At 36.9% G+C, this 27,507-nt stretch overlaps 2 protein-coding genes across 3 annotated transcripts in view; both read left to right on the forward strand.

Moving 5' to 3' along the window:
* The window catches only part of LRRC37A2 (leucine rich repeat containing 37 member A2), a 676,337-nt gene that overhangs the window by 262,495 nt on the left and 386,335 nt on the right, over nt 1-27,507 (forward strand). The window lies entirely within an intron of this gene.
* NSF (N-ethylmaleimide sensitive factor, vesicle fusing ATPase) overlaps nt 1-27,507 on the forward strand; it is a 166,796-nt gene that overhangs the window by 44,618 nt on the left and 94,671 nt on the right. For both annotated transcript variants that reach the window (NR_040116.2, NM_006178.4), the window contains 4 exons: nt 2,090-2,256; nt 4,768-4,875; nt 5,357-5,432; nt 7,818-7,973. Coding sequence is in view for 1 of the 2 variants with exons in the window: in NM_006178.4 (NP_006169.2) it covers nt 2,090-2,256; nt 4,768-4,875; nt 5,357-5,432; nt 7,818-7,973 (507 nt within the window). In the remaining variant the exon portion in view is untranslated. The remainder of the gene's footprint in view (nt 1-2,089; nt 2,257-4,767; nt 4,876-5,356; nt 5,433-7,817; nt 7,974-27,507) is intronic.

The following is a 27,507-nucleotide window of genomic DNA, read 5'->3' on the forward strand; positions in this document are numbered from 1 at the left end:
AGTGCCAAAACCTCTTGGATTTTTGTAGAGTTCACTCCCAACCTTTTCTAATTTTAATGCTTATACCTAGTTAGCAGTATTTTTTTTTTCTAGAAGAAACACTTCATTTAAAAAATTTTCCCAAAGCTTTCAACTTATAATATCTATTCTAGAATGTCAAAGTCATTGTAATAACAGTTCAACAACCAGGCCTTCAGAAGTTTTTATACTATTTAATTATATTTCATAATTAACTGTAACAAGTGTAACTAGCACAGACAGATACCAGAATGAACTTGGTTGACCCATGATGTGTAGCAACTCCTGTCTACAAGCTCTGAGCGTTAGGCAAACCATAGGCTGATGGGTATATGTTGGAGGGATAAAAGTTGGTCAGCTTTCTGATGACTCAGCTCAGTGGAGGTTGCTTACGAGAGCTGCTACTGTATCCTTAAGGGGCCATTGGTAAATTTTAGGACAAGTATCTTCAGGGAACCTAAAGGGAAAATAAATGTGTGTGTGTGTGTGTGTGTGTGTGTGTGTGTGTGTGTGTGCTCGTGTGTGAAGCCTTATTGAAGAGTAGCAATAGACTCTTTCTTACTAGGCGTAATCAAGTTGCCCTCCTGGGGAAACTCAAATGCAAAAATCCTCTTGAACTTTTCTGGGTAGCCTACTCTACTCTTTCCTAATAGTACCACTACAGTATACAGCACTGTAAAATTTTTTGCTTTAAAAGTTTGTTTATAAACTGGCATTTATAAGTATACTTTTTGAGCTGATTTAAGAATCAAGTTTTTTTTTCTAGGGAAATGCTTCTTTGTAATTATCTGTCACTAGCAAAATTTGTTTTAACATATATTTTTCTAAAAATATGATATGTAAACTGTGTTGTAGTTGTACAATTAAAGGTTTTTGGTCGAACAGTTATTACATGATGTAAAATCATGTGTAACACTTTAATATTAATTACATTGTAACCTAAAATTCATTTTAAAACTTTTTATGTGGCTTGAACAGGAATTTTCTTATCCAAAGCTTTGTATGTATGCTTTATTGCCTCCTTTGTTATTAGCATGGAGACCATGGGTTTTCTGTTATTGTTGTTTCATTTAAACAGTTCATGAATATATTAAGCACCTGAAAGAAACTGTTAGATGCTGTTAATAGGAAGAGGAGTTAAAAACCTCGTCCTTGCCCTTATCTACATGTGTACATGTAGAACTTACTGTAGTTCCCTAGATGTAGCAGGTGCTCAGGAAACATTTTTGTAGTAGTAAAAAAGAAATGTCAAACTCTAACTTGCTCTGGAGCAAATTCCGCTAGTAAACATTGTTTTTCAAGCTTCTTTTTTTTGCCTTGCGTCCTACTTTCTTAGGCCAAAATAATTCATCCACATCCCACCTTAGCTGTTTTTTTGTGTCAAACAAAAATCTTATTTGGAAATAGCATGTTATGCCAACTGTGTTGGGGCATCCCATACTGTATTGCATTAAATGAGGAGAAAGATGCAGAGGCCATGTGGGGAGGATTGTGATCCTGATAAGAGTGGGATGAGGGATAACAACAGAGAGACTGCCGTTCAATATTTCTTTCTTTCTTTTTTTTTGAGACGGAGTCTGGCTCTGTTGCCCTAGGCTGGAGTGCAGTGGCGTGATCTTGGCTCACTGCAAGCTCCGCCTGCCAGGTTCACGCCATTCTCCTGCCTCAGCCTCCCAAGAAGCTGGGACTACAGGCGCCCGCCACCACGCCCGGCTAATTTTTTGTATTTTTAGTAGAGACGGGGTTTCACTGTGTTAGCCAGGATGGTCTCAATCTCCTGACCTCGTGATCCGCCCGCCTCGGCCTCCCAGCGTGCTGGGATTACAGGAGTGAGCCACCGCGCCCGGCCTGCCATTCAGTATTTCTAATTAATTCAGATGGGGAAGAAAATCTCTAGTGACTATTATTTTTTAAACCTGTACCTGTGTGTCCCTCCAGTGAAGGCCATTTAAACCCCATTTTTGGTGAAGTAGTTTATGATTCATTTATGTGAAACTTTTAGTTACTAGAAACACTACAGGTATTTTGTACTCCTGTGATTTTTAAAAAAATGCTTCTTTTTTTCCCCTAGTCTCCTTATATACATTTGACAAAGCCAAACAGTGTATTGGCACAATGACCATCGAGATTGATTTCCTGCAGAAAAAAAGCATTGACTCCAACCCTTATGACACCGACAAGATGGCAGCAGAATTTATTCAGCAATTCAACAACCAGGCCTTCTCAGTGGGACAACAGGTAGTTTTTAATTTTCTTTCATTCCTTTAACTTTATAGGTATTCTAATTTCTGCAGTTTTCCAAAATTAATTCCACCTTTTAAAAAGTGAGAGGGGCTTTGCGTATCAACTCGTATATCCAAGGTGAGTGATAAAAGTGAGGGAGATGTATTTACTGAACTTCAAGGAGTCTGTTCAGAAAAATTCTAAAGTAGCTTTTAGATTAAAATGTCATGTATAATTATAGCAGCTTTTCCCTCAGCAAATTTGGGAACCCTGTGGACATATATATCTGAAATTCCTTTTTATATCATAGGACATTTGTTTTGCCTCTGGAATGTCTGTCTCTTTCACTAATATAGTTCTGTAGAAAATGTAGCTCTTGGCCAGACATGGTGGCTCATGCCTGTAATCCCAACACTTTGGGAGACTGAGTTGGGAGGATCGTTTGAGCCCAGGAGCTCAAGATCAGCTTGGGCAACAAAGTGAGACCCTGTCTCTACAAAAATTTTTTTAAAAGTAGCTGCGTGTAGTGGTCTCAACTACTCAAGAGGCTGAGGTGGGAGGACGGCTTGAGCCTGGGAGGTTGAGGCTGCAGTGAGCCATGATTGTGCCACGGCACTCCAGCCTGGGTGACAGATCGAGATTGTCTCAAAAAAAAAAAAAAAGTTCTTATTTTGGTTATGGGCTTATTTGAGAATCTTAAAAAACTGAATTCCTGCTAGATAGGAAAAGGATATAGTACATTATTTTAAAAAGAGTACTAGAATTGGAATGAACCTCAAGAGATTACCTTATGTAACTCCACATATACAAATGAGGAATTTTATTTTTTTATTTTTTAAAATTTTATTTATTTATTCATTTATTTTTTGAGATGGTGTGTTACCCTGTCATCCAGGCTGGAGTGCAGCGGCACCATCTCAGCTCACTGCAACCTCCGCTTTCTGGGTTCAAGTGATTTTCCTGCCTCTGCCTCCCGAGTAACTGGGATAACAGGCATGCGCCACCACACCCGACTAATTTTGTACTTTTAGTAGAGATGGGGTTTCACCATGTTAATCAGGCTAGTCTCGAACTCATGAGCTCAGGTGATCCATCCGCCTTGACCTCCCAAAGTGCTGAGATTACAGGCATGAGCCACCATGCCCAACCATTTTTTTTTTGTATTTTTAGTAGAGATGGGGTTTTGCCATGTTGGCCAGGCTGGTCCTGACCTCAAGTGATCCTCCCACCTCGGCCTCCCAAAGTGCTGGGATTACAGGTGTGAGCCATCACGCCTGGCCAAATGAGGAATTTAAGATCTAAAGAAGGTAAATGGTATGCCCATGGCTACACAGCTAAGGGACATAGTTGAGATAAGAATTAATTAAACACATATTTGATAGTACCTAGTGCCTAGTACCAGTCACTGTTTTAGACACTGCAGATCGGCAGTGAACAAAATAGATATGATCCCTGCTGTCATAGAACTTACTTTCTAGTTGAAGAAAACAGAAAATAAGACAGGAATACCATGTACAGTTAGGTCTCTGATGAAAGTAGATCAGGACAATTCACCAGAGAGCTATTGCGGTGCTGTTGTGTATTGGATGACCAAAATTGTGCTCAGATTGCCTAGCTAAACTTGATGGTTTTTACCTTTGCTTTTAGTTTTAGTATCCTAATAGAAAATGTTTAGGAGAATGTTTAATAGAAAATGCTTTGGTATTTATAATAATTTAAAACTCAGTAGCATGTAGAAGTCAGTAAATCCATGAAAGAGAATCTTTCGTAATTCAGAGAAGAAGTAAATATCTTACTCCAGATCACTGTCCTTAACTGTTTCTTCTCATTTGTGGTATCTCGTAGTAGCAGAATGGACAGACAGCCCAACCTGTAATATTTACCATTATACCCCAGCACATAGAAGAAGACCAAACTTTTAGAAGGGACTCAGCAAAGATTTGGTGAATGAGTAATTGAGCATTCAGAAGCTGTCTCTGCACTTGTAGGGCAAGCATTTTGTACTAGTGATAGAAAAGCAGGAATTGTAGAGTCACAGACCCAGGGTTGACTTCTGGCGCTCTCATTTACTGTGACTTTGAGCCTTGTTGCATAGCCTGTTTCTGCATCTCAGCTTCCTCACTAGTAAAATGGAGTCGTAGTTTCTGCTTCCAAGAGTGTTTGTGAATATTATATAACTGGCTGTAGTGTTTGAATAAAATACTAAGAAACTTTATTCTTTGTTAGAAATAGTAAATGTGGTACTCTTGAATTACTTTAGGTGGCACTCTGACATTTAAATTAGATATTTTTTATCCATGTGGAAGAAATTTTAAACATGAGTTTTGCAGTCATTTTGTAAACACTGATCGTAAGTGCTAATTCCCTTTTCTTCATTGGCTGTGAGTAGTTTGTTTGAGGAGCAGATTGGAGAGGAGTATATAAGATAAACTGGTTTTCTGCATTTGAAAAACATTGGTGATGATCTGAGGATCAAACTATTATATTATGAAGTGATTTTTCTCCCCTTACCTCTTTTCTACATAGCTTGTCTTTAGCTTCAATGAAAAGCTTTTTGGCTTACTGGTGAAGGACATTGAAGCCATGGATCCTAGCATCCTGAAGGGAGAGCCTGCGACAGGGAAAAGGCAGAAGGTAGCTTTTATTTCTGATCATCTTTACTAGATCATCTTTATAATGTAATTTGTGCAGATTGATTATAATTTTCCTATCTGTTGCTTAGTGATTTTTTTCATATTGTGTACCCTTTTAAGATAGTAGGGAGAAAAAATTGCTTTCATAGCCATCATTGTTATTAAAATATAGCTTAAAATGTATTTATTTGCAGACCTAATATTAATGTAAAATGTAGACGTATATGTACATATAATTTGCTTGAATGCAGATATTTATTGTAAATAAATAATAAGAAACGCATTATTGGAAAGATATAGGCATGGAAATAAGGCATGTAAGAATTGTAGAAGAAAGTTATGAGAAAAGTAAAAGTAGCTCAGATGATAGTCTGGAAGGTTTGCTTTGCCCAGAGAGACCTCATTTCCCCCTCACTTTTGGCCTTGCTTTGAGAAGTCCAGAAGTTTGCTATTAGACTACTAATTATTGTCTTTCTCTACAGATTGAAGTAGGACTGGTTGTTGGAAACAGTCAAGTTGCATTTGAAAAAGCAGAAAATTCGTCACTTAATCTTATTGGTAAGATTTACAGTTTTTAGAAGATTTGAAATGAAGTGGGCCTATTTCTATATGTAACTCAACTACAGTGATTTCCAAATGGGGAAAGGAAAGAGGGGCATCTCTCTTGAGAGAGTTTATCACAGAAGCATGGGGTATTTCCTGTTGGTCAGTTTGCTGATGAAAACGTTTAAAACCTTCATCTGGATCAACTTTGTCCAATAGAAATAGAGTGTGAGCCACATGTGTAATTTTTAATTTCCTAGAAATTGCACTAAAATAAGAAACAAATTAATTTTTTAACTTTTAATTTTGAGATAATTTTAGGTTCACAGATTTGCAGAAATAGCTCAGAGAATTTCTGTATGCCCTTTACCAGCTTACCCTGATGTTAATGTCTTATTTGACATTTTCAAAAGTACAATGATAAGAAATGAACATGGTTTCATTTCTGCTAACTAAACTACAGATTTTATTGAGATTTCACCAGTTTTTCCATTGTGTCCTTTTCTGTTCCAAGATCTAATTTAGGATCCCATATTGCATTTAGTTGTTCTGTCTTTTGAGTTTTCTTCAGTCACTGACAGTTCCTCAGACTTTGTCTTTTATGACTTTGAGAACTGGTCAGTTATTTTGTAGAATGCCCCTCACTTGGTTTTGTGTTAAATGAGATAGCATCATCATTTCTTTTAGTGATTAAGTGATGAATGTGCAGGTCAAGTCTTCCCAGCAGATTCATGGTTCAGTCCTACTCTTGTACTCTAGCACAATTTTTGTCATATTAAAACAATTGCAGCTTATTCTCTGAGAATAGTAACTCACCAGAATAATGTGACATTAACTGGGCATTAATTCTTATTTTTGGTTGATTTAACTATGTTGATGTCTACCCTACTAGAGAGTAGAGGGTTTTCATTGGTTGCACATCATCATGTCCAGGGTCACTTAACAGTCTTTGAGTGCGTGGCCTTTATTTCCTGGTCCACAAATTACCATTCCCCCTTATTGTTTTTTGTTAATTATAAAATATTTTATTTATAAAATATGGATAGGCATTCGAAAACAATTCACACACTGTAAAATTTGGTTCTGTTTTCATAGTTTTGTAATTTGCTTTTTTTGCTTAGCATGTTTCAAACATCTTAAATATACACCTATAACATGATTTTTAATGCCTGTATGTCATTTTATGAAGGTAGGATGTATTTTCCTGTTATTGATCTAGTACATTTATGAAGTGACTTCTTTGTATTTTATTTTTGTGTACCTTTTGTTAAGATATCCCAAGGGAGTTGCATAACTTTCATAGGTATTTCTAAGTAATCCATGGGAAAAAAATTGTGTAGTTAATTGGCATTCAGTAAATTTTGCCCACAAGAGGGCAGTAGAGTGTAAGAAAAAAATATTTTTCATCGCTTTCCAAAGGAAATCTTAAGGCCTCAAAACTCTAACCATAAAATTATCATCTAGTATAAACTTTTAAAAAGCGTTACTTTATTTTTAATTGACAGATAATAATTGTATATATTTATAGGGTACAATTTGATATTTTAATACATGTATACATTGTAGAATGATCAAATCAGCCTAATTAACATATCACCTCAAATATTTAGCATTTCTTAGGATAAACTTTTTTTAATGTGACATTTTCTTCCCTGGTTTTATAAAAACCATATTATTACTTTATTTTTTGTTTATAATAGAGCATACTAAGGTACTTAATTTATTCTTTGTTTGAAATAGTAAATGTGGTTCTCTTGAGTTACTTTAGGTGGCACTCTGACATTTAAGTTAGATAATTTTTGTCCTCTTGAGAATTTTTAAACATGAGTTTTGTAATCATTGAAGTCTTTAGGATGATTTCAGACTTTTGTGTCCAAGTGAAGAGAAAGCAAAGAAGACATCAAACTTGTTCAGTATATTTCCTTAGGCTGAGGGGTTATATGCCCAATTACCTGTATAAGCTTAATCTGGATAAATATATGTATTTTAAAATAAACTTGCGTTAGGAGACTTCAGTGACTGCGAGATTTCAGTTGCATTTCTGCCAGCTAGTGTTGTCTTCATCAGATATGGCATTTCTTCTGATCAACCGAGTTAGTTAATTTAGTTAGATTGAAGGTTAATAAAACTAAGTTTTATGGACTGATACAAATAGACTACAGCATAAGTTTAGCTAGTCATTTTGACAGTGTGTTACCATATATGGAGATCAGACAAAGTAGATAGCATAGCAAAACTTACCCTTCTGACTGTAAAATCAGCTAAGATTATATTGTTCGTTTTGTATATGTAAGGGTAGCTTTTCTTTATTCATTTAGGATGCTCAGGGAGTTCTGTCTGTCTTTTTAGACTTAGTGATAAAGTCCTTGTTTCACATTTGATAATATTCGTTTGACATAGGCAAAGCTAAAACCAAGGAAAATCGCCAATCAATTATCAATCCTGACTGGAACTTTGAAAAAATGGGAATAGGAGGTCTAGACAAGGAATTTTCAGATATTTTCCGACGAGCATTTGCTTCCCGAGTATTTCCTCCAGAGATTGTGGAGCAGATGGGTAAGTTTAAAAAGGAAAATGTTATAAAATCTTGTGTTGTTAAAAAAATTAATGCAATGAAGAATCTCTTTTCAATAGTTTTGAAATTATTTTTCAGACCCATTATTTTTGTCTTTTTCTTTAAAAATGAACAGATAAATTTTCTGAAAAACTTTATAATACCAGAACTTTTAAAATTACATTTTAATTTTATGGGGAAATCATAGAAATAAGACTTGTGGTGGCTCCATTTTGTTTATTTATTTATTGAAGAATGCTTTTCTATGGGGCATATTTAGAAACTTCCCCTGACAGTAATAATACTAGTAGTGACTCCATTTTATTTATTTATTTGCGTAAGAATGTTTTTCTATAGGGCATATTTAGAAAGTTCACCTGACTCTAAAGATCACTATGGGTCAGATGTACCCTGCTGAATAATAACTATCTATTAGGCTGTGTGCATTGTTCTGACATTAGCTGCCGTTCCTTTTTATTGTACTGTTGCATTACCCAGTTAGTACATCTTCATACCTAATAAATGGGTACTTGCATATTTTTAAATTAAATAAGTTTGATCCAAAAAGACAAATGCAGGATATACATTGGAGTTTCTATATTGCATACAAAGAAGTGCACTATTCGTTTACCACTTTCTTCTTGAAGGTTTATTTAATTTATCTGTGTGAAGTGACTTTATTTGCCCAGTGGAAATGCTGTCATGACTGTTTTCATGTCCATATCATTCGTTGGATTGGAATGTGAGCAACAGAATATCTGAGAAAGGAATGTATAACATAACAGCTTCTGGCAGACTATTAGTGTAAAAACAGCATCCAAAAAAAAATGGAAGGAATATGAATATATTACTCCGCTCATCCCCATCATTCTTTATCTTTAAATTGCTACTGGAAGATAAAAGTATATTTATTATAGTGGGGATAAGAACTGCTTTCTAGGCACTAAGTGCTTGGATTGTATTAGCCTTCTATTGTTGGTAGCCTTTCTGCCTGGTCGCTCACTCTGATAAATTACAGGCACGGCACACACCTGTTCACTGAGTAAAGGTCGAGTTTGGAATTGGATTAAGAGAAAATGACAGAGACCCTCATCACCTGAGTTTTATACACCTTGAAATGGCAATAGCATACTTTTTATCTCAAAGATACAAAGGCCACGTCCATTAAAAGCAGAATTTTAATTGGGAAAATATTTTAAAATGTGGTAGTTCACTATCTTGGTAATGTGTATTTTCGATCAAGACATGAAAATATTGTTTAAGTGTATTTTGGGTAAAAGCAGGGATAAAAAGATGATTCCAAATGTTGTAAGTTATTCTTGTGGAATGTTTTTACTGGTTTTCAGAACTGAGATCTAGTGCAGGAAGAGTCTAATGATTCTGTTTCTTAGAACATTTATACTGTTTAGCCAAAAAGTAGAAAAATAACTGCATTGGTAGTAAGCCGTCTCTTTTAATTATAAATGTTTTCTCACTGTTTGGAAGCTATTGAAGATAACAGTTATTCAGATACTAGTTTGCTATTTGTGCATTATCTAGATCCTGCACTTGAAGCTACGCGCAACGTCAGTATGCGTTGGGTAGATAATGCGTAAAGGAGTTGGTCTCACATTGGTCAGTTTGTGACCTTGCCAGCTGTTGGAGAGTTTTAAATTAAATCAGAACAGATTTGGAATTTGTTAGTGAATTTCATCTGTTTCTGATATCCGTATTGAAATGAGCTGAATTACAGTAGTGTGCTTTTTGTTGTTTTTGATGTGTTTTTTGACTAAGCACTATGGATTTGAATTTTGTGAGTGCCACTGTCCAGAACCTTTTTTATGGATTTATTTTTCTAATATTTTTACACTAATTTAATTAGACAAAAAATGAATTCTATCCTTTTGGAAAAGTTTTTTTTTTTTTTCTCTTTATGGCTTTTTGCCATCAGGAAGCATTTGTTACCAATTTCATTGAAAAGACAAACTAGTATAAAGCTGTCCTGGCTTTTGAGCTGAATTGAAAAACTTATTTTCTTTATTCTGGATGAAGTTTCTGGGTATCTAAAAAAAAGTAAAGCTTCTTCTTTTTTTTTTTTTTAATGGTTAAATGGCTGAGAAATAATTCTTTTGTAATGCATGTATAATTCCCTGTCTTCCAATAGAGGCTTCTTTTTTCCTTTGAATTTTGGGGGAATTATATAGTAAAATCCTTTCTTGCACTCCAATTACAGTGTGGTTATAAAGTTCTCCTTAGGCTTTGGTAAAGGTATATAAATAAAAATGGTTATATTTTGACAGAATATAAATAAAATTATACAAATTATTTTTATGCATATTCTGTGTTGTTTTTTTTTTTGACATGTCAGGTGGGAACAACATGGATTTTTTTCCCCCACTCTTTGTTAACTAAATAGACAGATCTATATGGTTTGGGGATTCAGCTGGACACTGAGTATGACTGGTTAAATCAGTTCTAATTTTTAAAAAAGATTAGAAAAGAATAATTTATGTAGGTTATGGGGCTTTTTTGTTTTAAGCAGAAAACTTTACTTTTGGCTTGAGACCAAATTACTGTCTTTACCATGGAGTCTAAAGTGATGTCTACTTCGTAAACAGGAATCTTAACTAAGTGGATTTTTTGCCTATATATCAATTTTCAAATTTACAAAGTGATAAATTTAGAATATTCTTCTCTTCTGTCATTATGTTCATCAGACTGATAATTATGCTTCTAGGTAACAGAGTTCTTTCTTTTTGTCTATAAAACTTCATGTTGCCTTTTCAAAATTGAAAAATATAGTTTAGCTACGAACAGAATGTTGCTGATGAGATATAGGAGGACTAAAGGACTTAACGAGAGGCACACAATTAAGCAGTAAAATTAGGGAACCAATGAGGTAATATACTTGAAAATAACTGTCATGGAGTTTCCAATCTGTTAGTTTCTCTCTTGAAGGTCTTTCAAATAGGTAGTGTATACCTTAGGCCGGGTGCGGTGGCTCACTCCTGTAATCCCAGCACTTAGGGAAGCCGAGGTGGGCGGATCATGAGGTCAGGAGATCGAGACCATCCTGGCTAACACGGTGAAACCCTGTCTCTACTAAAAACAGAAAAAATTAGCCGGGCGTGGTCGCGGGCGCTTGTAGTCCCGGCTCCTCGGGAGGCTGAGGCAGGAGGATGTGTGAACCCGGGAGGCGGAGCTTGCAGTGAGCCGAGATCGCACCACTGCACTCCAGCCTGGGCGACAGAGCGAGACTCCATCTCAAAAAAAAAAAAAAAAAAAAAAAAAAAAAAAAAGAAGAAGATAATGTATGCCTTTCTGCTTTTGTAGTTTTGTTATATTTTTGTAGAATTAAAATCAAGGAAACCCTTAAAGGAGAAAGGAAGTCACATAAAGCTCTCTAGACTGAGGGATAAAGGAAAAGGGATTATTTAGGGGAATATCAATTTAGACTTTTGTTTTTGTTATTGTTTTAATCAGAGCAACTGTTGAGTTTTCCCCTTGTCTGAAGCAGTTGAGCTCACCCAAACCCAAGTGGGGCAGCCCTTCCTTGGAAGGATATGAGAGCAACGAGCGAAGAAAACTAAACCTATACCTTGCACTTAGTAAATACCAAATAGATATTTAGTTAGAATGCCTTCCAACCCCCCACAAAACAGATTTTTAATTAAGAATTACCTTAAATCCATAATTTTATGGGCTAATAGAAGCCACATTTGAGTCCCAGGGTAGAAATGTGAACATCAAAGCTGGTATCTGGAAGTATGGGTGAATAAATTCAACAGCTGATTGCTGTCTTTCAGCATATTCAGGTGTTAACTGAATAGATACTGAATACTTGTGTTCGGACATTTACCACACTTATTCCCCTGTATGCAGTTTTGTGGACAGTGTTCAGGATAAATAAATGATTGATTACCTCAGTTCTCACTGTAGCTATTTTGTTAGCAAAGATAGCGTTTCTGCCAAGAAACTTCATTTTTTCAGCATCCCTGGCAATTCTCTCTAAATTATAAATGTCAAAGCAAAAAAACACATCGTTTTCAATGAACAGTGGAATAATTGTTAAAGAATTAGTCAGCATCTCTTAATGTAATCCTGGGAATAGGTTCACATCTACCCAAGGAAAGACCTAGAAGGAAAAGGATGTAAAGAGGGAAGACCTCAGCCTCACACTGTCTTTCAGTGGATCTGTGGGGTGTAGATGTTCAGGCCACCTAGTGGGGAGGAAAGCCACTTGTTATGGTCTTGTGCCCCCATTCTTTGAAACTGACACTGTGTTCTTTTTGGTCTCCTTTCCCCAGTGTCTCCCTCTGTAAGCCCATTTTCAATCGTATTTTTAAGGTTTCTTTTGAAATTCAAGAGGAAAGCAACTCTTTTCTGATATCATAAGTGAAATTGTAGTTACTCTATGAAACAGAACTGCTGAGAAGATAAGGAACCTTTCAATCACACAGACATCTTTCACATACTAAAAACAGTGCAAATAAAACATAGTGGAAGAAAGGGCACTAAGGTTTTGTGCATGCCATATTTTGGAGAGAGGGAGTTCTTGCTAAGATTAACATAAACACTGACACTCTTAAAATGCATTTTCACACCCCCACTCATGAGGAGAGATTGCATTTTAAATGGGGGTTAAGACATCCAGGCGAACTCCAGGGCTCTGTAAAAGGAACCCTAAGGCTAAAGAGCTTATCTGAAATTTGAAAAAAAGAAAAAAAAATGAAGCCTTCTGACATTCATCTTTTTTTCTTGTATTAGTCATAACTTGCTTTTCAGCTATATTTTAGGTTTTGAATGCCAACCTGACATCTGTTCAAGTCTGCCTGTAATTTATTAGCAGAGGAAAAGACAGCAGTTGCTCACTAGTTAGAGATGCAAAATTTCTGCCTTCCTGTTCTCCACTAAGTACTTATAGATGATACCTGGATACGAAGAATGTAATAATTTACTGAAAACTTCAGGTCAGGAAATTTATAAAGATTTTTTTTTAATTAGAAGAATAAAATGGCTTAAGACCATGTGATTTCAAAAATCTCTAGATCAGGATTTAGAGACAAAACATAGACCCTAAAAAATACTTTAGATAACTTTCTATAAATTGTAATTTTTTTAACCTTGAATTAATTTTTCCATTGGTTTTAAATTTTTAAGTTAAATGTATATTTGAACAGTAGTTGTGCTTATATCTGAAAGTCAAACTGTATGTAAATTCACCTGGCATTTTGCATTTATAGACAGACTTTAAGAAACAAATCTTTTGGAGAGGTAGTGCTGTCTACAGAGTCACCAAATGGATTAGATTTCCTGGCAACTACAGTTGAGTTACTTACAGATCAACAGTTGGGTCACTACAAAGTTGAGATCTAAGTGTTAACCTGAGTGCCCACCAGTAAGAAACCGGTTAGAGGCAATCTTAAAATGATATAGCTCCAAATGTAGAGACATGTTTGTGTTAATAAAAAATATATAAAAGCAAATGCATTCTAAAAATCTCTAAGGACATACATTAAATTGAAAAAAGGTTTATGGCTGAATGTGGTGGCTCACACCTGTAATCCTAGCACTTTGGGAGGCTGAGATGGGAGGATCACTTGAGCTCAGGAGTTCAAGACCAGTCTGGGCAGCATAGTGAGACCTTGTCTCATTTATTTATTTTTTTAATTTAAAAATTTAATTTAAAAATTAAAAAAAGTGTTTACTTCCATGGAAGGGAAGCTAAGATGGGGAATAAAGGGAAAGTTTTGTTCTTTTACTCAATTTTACCTTTATGTCTGAATGTTTTATTGTATTTCTAATGTGTGATTTTAAAAGCCAACAGACAAAAGATAATATCACAGTATGTTTCTTGGGGTGACTCTACCATCAGCATGGAAAGTCAGCAGGAAACAGGTACATCCTTCCGCCTTCATGAAGTTTTCTGTGGAGGAGGAGAGTGCAGGGTAAAAGGCCTGGATTCCAAGGGCTTTGCTGGCAGCCCCTTAGAGGGTAGACAGAACACCTATCCTATTTGGTCAAGAAGAGAAAAAGTTTCTCCATATATAACAAACTGCTTTCCCCCAGAATGTTCTGCATTATAGTAATGGTGTAAGTAGTCTGCCCTTCAAACATGAGAACATTTGCATCCAGGCCTTTAGGCAGCCAAGGCAGCATTAAAGAAGAAAGAGTGGGAGCAGAGCGAGCTGAGGGAGAGCAGAGCTTCTGACATTTGAGGAACTGGGCGTGAATTTGTTTTTAGTCTTCAAAAACCATTCTCTTGAGGAATCGAATTCCCATGACTCCTGAAGTGAAGCGGTTGGTGTTTTCTCCTGCGTTACTCCCATACGTAAGTTGGTGATTATAATGAGGGTGGTGGCTAATACTTATATAATGCCAGACGCTGTTCTGTGTGCTTTATTATTGTGTTTATTAATCCTCACAACAACCTTCAGAAGTAGACACTGTATTGTCTCCATATTATGGAGCAGGAATCTCTGTCTCAAAAAGGTGAAGTAATGGGTCCAAGACACACAGCTAGTAAGTAGTAGAGTCAGATTTGAACCCAGGCAGTCGAGCCCCAGATTTCATTTCCTTAACCATTACATGTTATTCTCCCATGAAAGCCCATCGTGTAAAACCATTTTAATGGGCTTTCTAGCTTCACTTTTTTGGGGACCTTTGAAGCAATCATTGAGGCAGCCTTTGTTCTAGCCAAGGGCCAACCATGGCACCATTGAGATTTTGAGCTGTATAATTATTTGGTCTGGGGACTGGGTGTCCTTTGCATTGTAAATAACTAACTTTTCTAGTAATCTGATGTGTTCAAATTGTCATGAGCTCAAGAGACATGAAGATTTGGTGGTAGGCTGTAATACCTAATGCCACTTTTTTCATGTGTTTTTTGTCACGTGTTGTAGCAGAATACAGGAAGGAAGGAACTGGAATGGGTGTGTCAGAGAAGCTGTCTTAAACTGTCAACCTGGAGAGGGAACATAAATGTTAAAATTAAATAATCATTAAAAAATTAAGCAACGTAACAAGTGATATCAAAGGCCAGTATTTGATTAAGTGCCAGATGAGCAGTACAATTGATAAGCCCTACAGGAACTGAAAGGGAATCACATCGAGAAGACTTCATAGAAGAGGCAGAGCTTGAGTAAGGCCTTAAATGCTGAGCGGTTTTGGATAGGAGGAGGGAAGGGGATAGTTGTCCATATCCTGGGAAGAGTGACAGACTAAACACGGTATAGACTTCATGACTTAGACCAGTCTAACAGAGCTGTTGTTTGGAAGAAACAGGAAATAGGATTAAAAAGTTAGTTTTGGGTTGGGTTGTGGAAATCTGTGAGGAGATGTGGACTCTTTTTAAAGTACTGTCCCTGTTTAAGCTTCCAGACAGACTCAGAACCTTCCAGACAGACTCAGGTGCTTCTCCTGTGTTTCCCTGCACCTTGTATATACTTAGAATCCAGCTGTGTTCTTAATGTAATTATTCATTTGCATTACACTCCTAAGGCAGAATTTCTTAACCTTGGCACTATTGACATTTTAGGCTGGATAATTCTTAGTTGTAGGGCGCCTGACCTGTGCATCATAGGATGTTAAGCGCCATCCCTGGCCTCTACTTGATGTCAGTACTTCCCTTCCTCACCACTCCGAGCCCCAGTGACGATTAAAAGAAATGTGATGAAACTGTCCTGTGTTGAGAACCATTGCTCAAAGGCCTTTGAAGGCACAACTGTAATGTCTTCTTATCCATGTATTATCAACATCAGGGGTGTTGGGATGTAGGTTGCAGGTCATTGTTGGACCATGAACCACTGTTACCAGTCCACAATAAGACAAATATTGGAAATTAAGAATAAGTAATTACAAATGTTTATAGCAATTTGACATTATCACAATTTTTTTAAAATTATATTTTACAAAAATGTTGGTCTGCAATGGATTGGAAATTTAAAAGGAAAAAAAATACAGCTGGACCTTAGCATACATAGTTTGAGAAGCACTGGCCTATGTAAATATTTGCAAAATGAATGAAATTTTTTGAACAGATGCCTTAGAGAAAAGGTGAGGCGAATAGTCTTAGAGACCAGTAGACTATTGCTGTCCAGTGTGTGGTACTTAGAATCTGGATTGGGGTGAAGGCAACAGGAATGGAATGGGAAGAAAATACATGAAAAAATTGCAGACATGAAACTGGCAGAATTTGGCAATAGTTATTGTGGGTGACAGAATTGGAGGTGAGACTCAGGTCTTGTGAGAAAATGTTGGAAATGAGAAACTCAGGAGAACATAGTTTTGGAAAAGTAGAGAATATCATTGCACATATTTTCAATATCGTGAAAGGAAACTGGAAGCTGAACTGAAGAGAGGAAGAATTACTGGCATTTCAATTTATTGAAGCCTAGCTTCAATCAGTCTGCACGTGTTTAGGAAACACACTGTTGACTACTTTTGCTTGAAATACCCTCTTTACTTGGCTTTTCTCACTCCAAGCATTTCTGGTTTTCCTTTTACCTCTCTGGCTGTCTCTTTTCAACCTCTTTTGTGTCCCTTAAAATGTTGGGGTTCCTCAGGAGTCTGTCTTTGACCTATTATTTTTCTCTAATTATTCTCCTCCAAATTAATCACATCTGTTTCATAGCTTCAATTAGTATCTTTATGCTGCTAACTCTCAAATATGCATATGCCACCTCGGTCTCAGTTTAGAACTCTGGATTTGTACCAGCATAATGTGTTGGGTATTTCATGATCACATAGTAAGCTTGAAATTAAACACATTCAGTTGCCCCCTCAGTCCTCTCTAAACATGCATCTATATCTGTGTTTTCTATCTCTGGCAATACTCTAGCCAAAAATCTGGACACCTTTAACTCCTCTCTTTCCCTCACCTCCCACTTCCAGTAAGTCGCAGAATAGACCGTCAATTCTGCAATCTCCGCAATCTCTCTGAAATCCCTCCAGTTCTCTCTACCTCGCCCTGCCACTCTTCCTTCAGGACACCATTATCTCTTGCCTGAATTGCTCCATAAGCCCTCAGCCTTGCCCTTCTCTAATCCATTCTCCACACTGTAACTGGAGTGATTTTTATAAAAAGGCAAGTCTGATCCTGTCACTGCACTGGTTCAAACTCTTTAGCAGCCCGCCTTAACTCCTTACATGGTTTACAAGCCCTGTGTGATCTGGCTCCTGCTAAACTTTCTTGCTTCGCCTCTCAGCCCGTGCCCCTCCCCCATACTCTGGGTTCCAGCCAGCCTGTGCTATTTTCAGTTCCTCTAATTTGCCATGCTACTTTCTCTTACCTCTATATCCTAGGGTTATTTTTTTTTGCTTTTTTTTTTTCTTAACCATCTTTTCATCCAATTCCTGTTCACTCTTCAGGCCAAAGCTTTGAACTCACTGTTTCTAGAATGAGTAGGCTTTAATGTTCCTCATGTGTGTTCTAATAGCTCCATGTTATTTTATGCATTATTACATTGTATTATAATTGCTTATTACATGTCTGTATTCCAAGTCCTCTCTCCATGTCCCTGCCCTCACAAACATAGTATACCTTCAGTAAGGAATAGGCCTTGTTTATTTTGGTCACTGTCGTATTCTCTCCTCCCGGCATGGTGTCTGGCTTATAAGTTTTCAGGAAATAAATAAATGCCAGGAACTTGATTAATCTTGATTAATTAAATAGAACACTTAGACAGTTTGATCCAAGCCCTGCCCTCATGATACTTACAGTCTGTGTGGGAGTAACACTGTATTTGCACATCCCAAAGCAGTACTGTGTAAAACATAAGGTGCATTGTGAACCAGATTAGCAAAGTAGGCCACATGGAGAAGCAGCAGATGCATTTAAAGAGCAAGACTGAGCCATATCTTTAAAAGTCAAAGCAGATATGATGTTTATAATTCATTACTAAATCCATGTAGATCCTCTTAGATTCTGAATTTAGGAAAGACCTCTTGGATTGGTCCTGAATGGCACTAGGCTCCAGAAATAAGAAAAGGAAGAGTATTTTCTTGGGTACTTGTGAGCTACCATTTGCTTCATTGGGAACTGCCATTCTTATGTAAGGGCACTATAACAAGAGTGTTCACATTTAAGGGCATCAGGTCAATATTGCGTCTGTGTGAGTTTGTGTGCATGTGAATGCACACATGTATTTTCTATTTTTAAATAGAAACACATTATAAAAATAATGCATCCTCATAAAACAGCACAGATAGAGTAAAAAGTGAAATCTCCCTTCATTCTACCCACTCCAGTTTTACTCCCTCTCTTAGAGGTAGACACTGTAAAGAGATTGGTATGAATTTTTCAAACCCTTTCCTAAGTATTTATACAATAATATATAATCAATCCATTCATTCATTTATTGAGACAGGGTCTTGCTCTGTTGCCCAGGCTGGAGTGCAGTGGTGCAATCATACTCCGTTGCAGCCTCGCACTCCTGGGCTCAAGTAGTCCTCCCACCTCCACCTGCCAAGTAGCTGGGACTACACCCAGCTAATTTGTGTGTGTGTGTGTGTGTGTGTGTGTGTGTGTGTGTGTGTGTTTGTGTAGAATTGGAGTCTCACTATGTTGCTCAGGCTGGTCTCAGACTCCTGGCCTCAAGCAGTCCTCCCGCCTCAGCCTCCCAAAATGCTGGGATAACAGGCATCAGCCACTGTGCCTGACTTTTTTTTTTTTTTCAACCTAGTAGTGTATCTTGGGTTTTTTTCTGTGATAAAGCACACAGATAACATTTTATTTTTTAAAAAGTTAAATAGTATTAGCAGATCTGCATCCACACAAGTCCCGTCATGGTAAGTTAGCGTCTCTTCCTCAGCAGTAAGAAGGCTCCTAGGCACACACCAGAACAAGGTTGGCATTGCGTCTCCTTTCTACTCACTTGTATGGCCCTAGGCTTCTCAATGCGGCAGGGCCCTGGGCGCTCAGCTACTTGAGCCTTGGTACCCTTGCCTGAAAAATTGTTTATTGGTAGGTAACATTAATGTGTGTAAGTTTTCTAACACAGTACCTGGCTGACTGTCAAACACTCCATGGATGATAGTTACTTGGTATGATTATATTGCCAAGAGGCACTTTTGGAGCTCTGTAAAAGGCAAAAATTTATAACCCAATCCCTTTAATCTAATGTTAAGATGTGTTTTCTTCTTATCTTAAATTTTGTTGCTGTTGAAAATAGTTAACACCTGAGATTTTCCTCCTATGCTGTTTTATAATTACCCATTTTGAACAGTGTTTGTTGATAAGGTAGTCAAGGGGACACTTCGAAATATTTTTTCTTTATTTGTGAAGTCATACTTTGGCTGATTTATATTTAATTTTTATCACATTACATCGGAGAGGAGCAGATAAATTTTCTATCACCTCTATAAATTTTCTATCACATATAAGAAAGTGTATCTTATATGTGATACACTAACTTGGAAAAACAACAGCTATCTTGATAGACACAATAGAGAATAGGATGTCAGAGGAAGAGAAGAATTAGAATGTTAACAATAATGCTAGTAAAAAGCTACCCAGGACTTAAATGGTATTATTTGAGAGTACTTCTACCATGATTCAAATAAGACTTGCCTTGGAATTCCATATGATTTGTTACTTAGAGCAGTCTACCTTTAATATGTTTAATATGGTCATACTTTAAAAAAAAAAACCTGCAAGAAACTTGGGTTTCACGTTTTTGCTTTTTAAAGAATTAACATAATGTTATTTCAGGTTTGTAAAGGAAGTTACAGAAGATAGCAATAAATCCCTTCCATATACCATTTTAGTCATAGTGCAAAATTAGGCATTGAAAATTATTATGGGTACTGTATTAGATATTCAAAGATTTATTTGTGGCTTTGACTTCTTTACCAACACCTCTGGCTTTAATACAGTATCTTTTATCAGAGCAAGTAATAGTTTGAATCCTTTTCTTACAAATCCTCTTTTTACTCAAGTGACTGCAAACTTATAAAGATGCACACATCTGTAGCTTGAACGTCTATGCTATTTGCTCAAGTATTTACTTGAATTTATCCTCGATGATATGATTTTTTGAAGTGCTTTGATTTTAAATTCTATCTAGAATCCCATCATGAGGGAGAAATCTTAGCAAGACTTAAGCACCTTTTCATAATGACTGGTTACTGTAGGATAAACCTATAATTAGTATGTTGCTAATCCACACGTTAGATATATCCCATCAAATTTCAAATATACACAGGAGAATTATCCACATTGAAGGTTATTAGTGCATTCCAGGGACATTTCCATGTTGATTCACAACTACCCCTTTACCTTACACTTTCCTGTGTTACTAGACGTCTCTTTCTGTAAAACTTCTCTTTGTTGTTACTTTTTACTTTTGTATGTGTTACCTGATTACTTTGGCTTCCTCTGTGACTACTGAGGGAGCCAATTGTGGCTGTGATGAGCTTAGAGAAAGGGAGATGGGGAAGACTCGCTTAAATGAGTTACAAATTCTCTGTAGTCTGATCTTTATCTGGCTATTGCAGTATGACCATGGGTGATACTAAATGAAATAGAACTCAACTCCCCAAAATTTGGATTTGTCTTATAAGTCGTAATGGCTCCAGGTGGGATACTGTGTCAGACCAAGGATAGGCAGATGATAGTTTATTGCCACAGTCAAAAGATCGAACCCTTTTTTTTCATGTTATCTAGAAATGAATCTTTAAAAAAAAAAAAAAAGGAATGGGTTGAACTTATAATATTTTAGCAACTCATAAAATAACTTGAAGAAAAAGATCATTTGGAAGGAGAGACAAAACAGACTGAAAGACATTGTTTAAATTTATGACTTTTATTATCTTACTTGAATGCTATTTTTGCCCCTCTCGCTATTATTAAACCCTTTGCTTCCTGTTTTCAGTTGCTCCTGTCAAGGTATGAATTTTTCTTTGGATGATTGTCATCTATTTCATATTATCTAGTATTCCTCTCTATTATGAGAAAATCAAAAGTAGACAGTGTATCTATAGCTATAGATTTAAATGCACTAAGGTAATTATATATTTGAATCAGAGACCTAAGGAATAATCTAGTGTAGCATTTACCAAATTTATTTAAACTTAACATGCTTACATGAAGACAGACCTATTTATGTTTCCAAGGAACACCAGTTTGAGAAATGCTGATCTTACCTGTGTCATTCTTATTTTGTAGATGAGGACATTGGGACCTCAGAAGAATAAGGCAACTTATTTAGGCTAAAGTCACTGCTTGTCTACTGGGGCTGGAATCCAGGTTGCTTAGTCTGGTGCCCTTTAGGCTTCATGATTCAGCCACTTAAGACAATTTGATTTATTGTTGGGCTTTTTAATTCTAGATTTCATAACTTGGATATGAAACTGTACTTCCCAGTCTCCAAAATAAGCTTCACTGTTTTCTGGAACGTGAATTAGATTCAGAAAGCCCCTTACTGCCTTTAGATTATTGCAGCCTCCCCAGTGGGCCCCAGGGATCCAGGAAAAATATCTTTGTTTTTCACCTAGTCCTCTCCTCAGCTTTTAGAGGGACTCTTAGATCTATGTTTATGAAAAGACTTTTATTAGTTCTTATAGTTGTAGTAATGCATGTTTATTGTAGAAAATTTCAAAAATGTAGATGAATAAGAAGAATAAAACAATCACTCAGTGTAAAAAACAAAAAACCCTGAAAAAGTACCATTAATATTCTGGAGTATATCATCCAGCTAGTTTTAGCTGTATATACATAGAACCAAAAAAAAAAAAAAAAGCATTTTGCTGTTTTATAACTGGTTTTCTCCCCACTCAGTAAGTTAACAGTTTTTCTTAAATATTCTCTACAACATTCTTTATTTTGTAGAATGATAATGCTGTGGTTTGTTTAATCAATCCCCTCTAGTTAGAAATTGTATTCAGTTTTTTACTATTATACACTATGTTTAACAAGCACCTTAGAAACTAAATATTTCTACACATTCATATTTCTTTAAGATAAATTCCTGGAAGTAGAATTGCTGAATCAAAAAGGATTCACAAGTGTAAATGTTTTTGACATGCACTGCCAAATTTAGACTTCCTTTTTGAAAAGTCAAATGTTAAGGAGATCAAAGCAATCACTAAGCAGGTACTCTGGAAGAGAAATAGAAATATAAAAAATATAATGGTTTCATGAGAAACTAATAGACAAGGTTTCAAGAGACTTGGAGTCTAGTTTTGGATTTGTCATTGAATGGCTGTGACTTTTGGGTCTTAGTTTCCTCATTATAAAAATGGGAAGATAGACTAGAAATAGAAACTTTTTCAGAATAGTCACCTTATGAATGTTGTTTCAGTGAAATATAAAGGTCTGTACATAAGTTCTGCAGGGAAGATGCCATGTATTTGCTCATTCTTCAAGTTTCAGCTTGATTGCCTTTGGAAGGTCTGTCACACTTAACGTCCTCCTAATAGAAGTAATTGTTTTACTTTTTGGCTCCTCATAGCCCTTTTTAAATGTTGGTTCTGTATAGTTGTATCTTTGATTTTTAATATTGAGGTATTTGTAACAGAGGTTATCTTACTCATCTCCTGAAAGCACTTGGCTTAGCATAGTTCTTGGGTATATAATAGAGACTCAGTAAGTATCTGTGGAAGTTGAGAGTGATACCTTGTTCCCCAGTGTATAACAGCAAAGCCTAGCCTCCTCCTGTTGAGCATTGTCTGTTCTCGCTTTGAAGAGCTCACCACATTTCTTCAGTTTGTTTTTGTTTTTATTTTATTTTATTTATTTTTTTTTTTTTTGGCGGGGTGGGGTCTTTCCTATTCAGTAACACAGTGGTTCTCAGTCTTTGGTGTGTATCAGAATTTTTTTTTTTTTTTAGAGTTTTGCTCTGTTACCCAGGCTGGAGTGCAGTCGTGTGATCTCAGCTCACTGCAACCTCTGCCTCCCAGGTTCAAGCGATTCTTGTGCCTCAGCCTCCCGAGTAGTTGGGATTACAGGCACATGCCACCATGCCTGGCTAATTTTTGTATTTTTAGTAGAGACAGGGTTTCATCATGTTAGCCAGGCTGCCCTTGAACTCCTGACCTTAAGCGATCCACCCACCTTTTCTGGTATTACAGGTGTGAGCCACCCTGCCTGGCCCAGAATTTTTAATGTTAAAAAAAATACAGATTTCCAGGCTCTCAAGTACACTGAATGTGAGTGTCAGGCACAAAGCCGAGACACAGCGCTGTCAATAGCTGAGCTCTCCTTGGGGTTTTAGCTTTGTCAGGCAAATTGATATTCAAGTTCCAGGTCTGCCACTTACCAGATGTGTCTTCCCCTTACCAGGGGAAGGTCACTTTACCACTGTAAGCCTCAGTACCTCTTCCTTAAAAAGAGGGTAAAAATAATACCTTAGCTCATAGTTTTAAAAATGATTACGTAAGAGAACATATTAAAACACGTAGTATAGCCCTTCCCATATCTGCAGTTCTGGCCTTGATCTGTAACTTCTTGGATCTTATATGCATTTATTATTTATTTGTTTCTTTTTAAAATAACATTTATATTTTTTCAACTTTTAGAGGTTAATATGTTCATTATAGAAAACTGAAAAACACAAGAGGCATATAACTAAAAAATCATCCATAACAGAATCAGTTTACATTCTGATGTATCTTTCCAGTCCTTGTATGTGTATACATATATACATAACTGAGTATACCTTTTTACATGGTTACACTTATATAGTATGTGCCATGCTTTCTTGCATATCATGAGTACTTGAGTATCAAAATACTCAGGGCTTTAGGATTCAGACATTGGTAAATATTCACGATACATTTTCTTATCTTTTGTGGGGACAAAAATATCTTAAAAAACAAAATGGCAACAGGTCTCTGGAAATGCATATTGGCAGGTTTATAGTTAAATACTGTGTTCACTTAATACCCAATATAAAATGAGATACAAAGCAGTCAAGTAAGTATAATGCTTCTTAGATAGTTCAGTATGAGATCTGCACTATTAAAATATTACCAGAAATGATGTTTCTACTTAATTATTTAACAATTCATATAGTATTCACAAAGTATACCAAGAAAAAAGCACACATATGTCAGTGGTTATAATCAGATTGTAAATATGGACATATCTATATATATCTCTTCCCTTACCTTTCTTTCTGCCCCTTCCTTAGCAATCCAGTACGTACTGATGTATACTGCTCATAGGTGGTTTAACATTGCCATTTCCAAGATGCTTCTTTTCTAATGAAATTAATTTACTATCTAGTTAATTCACTAGCTCTATTTTATACATTGTCACCTCATAACATCTAGAAAGCTTAGTGTTGTGAAGTAAGGACTGATAAACAGAGGCACTTTACTAAAAAATCACTTCCTAGAACTGTGGCTACAATATGAAACTATCTTCTAGATATGAACATACTTGCAAAGAACCTTCCTTTTGCCTTTCTTCTTCCTTCTTCAGCTCAATGAATAAGTACAGAAATGCATATAGCTCTACGAGATGGGTTAACAACAGTCACTCCCAGACAACAAGCCTTGCTAAAAACTCTAACAAGAGGACATTTATCAAAGAATCATTTTACTTCTTAAACTTTCAGCATACTTTGGGCACTTCTCAGCATTGGGGCCTTGTTTGTCCTTTGCATACTCAACAATGCTAAGTAAATGCACTTGCAGAACGACGAGTAGATAATCTGCATTTATCTCAAAACACACTGGCACAGAACTCTTCCACCGTCACTTCCTGTCTCTCCCACCTCCTTTACTACCCAATGAGCAAAGAATATGTAGCTCAAAGAGATAAAAGTTTAACAGTTCCATTCTAAAGACAGTCATTCCTGTTAATTGACATAAACTTACTTAAAGTGTGTTATTTTGTGAAGACTACATGTTTCAAACGTCTACTGTATAATGATAGCATTGATTAAATTGTGTGCATATAACAAAGGCTATAATCTGAAAGTATCTTCGAAATATGAATATTATAGCCAAGTACACTTCACCTTCTCACTTCCTTCTTATCATTATCAGCCCAAAGGACAATATCAGCGTTCCAAAAGTTGTTTTCAGAAGATAGTCTTACCTATGAAGTTTTCGGGCATACAAGAAAAGTATATAATATGTTTTAGTTCATCATCTCTTCTTTTGTCAAACATTAGCAACCTCTTTATCATCTAGACAACAAGATGTAAAATTAGGACTTGCTTGTTCATTGTACAGATAACCCTCAATGGGTTATGTCTCAGCAAACCCATCGTAAGTTGAAAATATCCTAAGTTGAGAGTGCATTTTTGACTTACAGTATTTTCAGTTGACTATGGGTTTATCTTGTCGTAACTGATTGTAAATCGAAGAGCATTACCAAATGCATATTGCTTTTATACCATCATAAAGTAAAAAAAATTGTTAAAAGTCAAACCAGTTTAAGTCGGGGACCATGTGTATACACTATGTGCACAGCAAAGTAAAATAAAATGCACAGAACATGCAGGTAATCTTGCCTAACTACAAACACATGGTATAGAACCCTTTATTCCTTCCTACACTTCCTTTGCCTTCCTCCTCCCTCAGTCCACAAGCACAGATCTGTACCACTCAAAGAGGAGGTCTAATAATCCCATTTCCGAAAGACAGTATTTCATTAAATTTATTAATTCCTTTTATCCAGGCATTTAGTGGTCATTTTTAGATGACCTTTACCACATATCTTCAGATGCTTTCACCGTCCGCCATAAGAATTTTTACTGAAATGAATTCTTGAAATGTTTAAAACTTTGTTACATTCTTTCTCGTTCCACAAGTAGTTATCCCTTCCCAGTTACCTTTCTTTTTTAGGTCTGTGGAGTCATGATACATCTATCCCCTTTTCCTTTGTTTTTCATGCATTTGTCAAATTTATTATTGAATACTCCTAAATTTTTTCTGCCTTTATCATTTGTTTTTTCTTTTTCATTGCTTTAGTCAGTTACCCTTGCACTACAGCAGTAGCCTCTTTATTATCTTCCTTGCCTTTAGTCTTCTTCCTTTCCATCCTGGAATATTTATTTCAGAGCTTACTGTACAAAAATACCAGATTCTATCAGAGAACATCAAAGGAATCACAGAATCTCAGTATTGCAAAGGATCTTAGCCATCTAGTGCACACACCTGTTTTTTATTTGAATCTCTTCTACATTTCTTTTTATTATTATTATTATTATTATTATTATTATTTTTGAGATGGAGTCTCACTCTAATGCCCAGGCTGGAGTGCAGTGGTATGATCTTGGCTCACCGCAACCTCTGCCCCCCTGGTTCAAGAGATTCTCCTGCCTCAGCCTCCCAAGTAGCTAGGATTACAGGCGTGCACCACCATGCCTAGCTAATTTTTTGTTTGTTTGATTGTTTGTTTGTTTGTTTTGAGATGGAGTCTGGCTCTGTCGCCCAGGCCGGAGTGCAGTGGCATGATCTCGGCTCACTGCAAGCTCCGCCTCCCGGGTTCACGCCATTCTCCTGCTTCAGCCTCCCTAGTAGCTGGGACTACAGGCGCCCGCCACTATGCCTGGCTAATTTTTTGTATTTTTAGTAGAGACGGGGTTTCACTGTATTAGCCAGGATGGTTTTGATCTCCTGACCTTGTGATCCGCCCGCCTTGGCCTCCCAAAGTGTTGGGATTACAGGTGTGAGCCACCGTGCCTGGCCTTTTGTATTTTTAGTAGAGACGAGGTTTCACCATGTTGCCCAGGCTGGTCTCGAACTCCTGAGGTCAGGTGATCCACCCGCCTCAGCCTCCCAAAGTGTTGGGATTACAGGCATGAGCCACCGTGCCTGGCCTTTTGTATTTTTAGTAGAGATGAGGTTTCACCACGTTGCCCAGGCTGGTCTCGAACTCCTGAGGTCAGGTGATCCACCCGCCTCGGCCTCCCAAAGTGTTGGGATTACAGGCGTGAGCCACCGTGCCTAGCCTTTTGTATTTTTAGTAGAGACGAGGTTTCACCACGTTGCCCAGGCTGGTCTCGAACTCCTGACGTCAGGTGATCCACCCGCCTCGGCCTCCCAAAGTGTTGGGATTACAGGCGTGAGCCACCGTGCCTAGCCTTTTGTATTTTTAGTAGAGACGAGGTTTCACCACGTTGCCCAGGCTGGTCTCGAACTCCTGACGTCAGGCGATGCACCCGCTTCGGCCTCCCAAAGTGCTGGGATTACTCATGCCTGGCCCTCTTCTGCATTTCTGCTGAGTAACTTCTGCCAGGTTCCTTAGGCTAAGCTTAAGTTCCTCCAGTGACAGGAATCTCACTCCCTCCTAAGGCTACATTCCTCTTTTGGACAACTATAGGTTTAAGTTTAGTCTTCCTTATGTTAAGGTAAGATGTATTTGCTTGTATCTTCTCCTACAAGCTCTGGTTCTTCCCCTGAAACTACACAGAACAAGCATGATACTACTTCTTTATGAACACTCTTTAGGTATGAAGAAAGCTATTGTCCAGACTTCCCTACAGATTCCTCTTTTCTCTAAGCTAATTCTCCTAAGCTTGGTTGGTTTTTTCTAGCCAGTCTTTTTAGCCCTTTACCATCCTATTCACGTTTCTGTGAACTTTAACATTTATGTATATTAAT

Source organism: Homo sapiens, chromosome 17, assembly GCF_000001405.40.
Source record: "Homo sapiens chromosome 17, GRCh38.p14 Primary Assembly".
Lineage (NCBI taxonomy): Eukaryota > Metazoa > Chordata > Mammalia > Primates > Hominidae > Homo > Homo sapiens.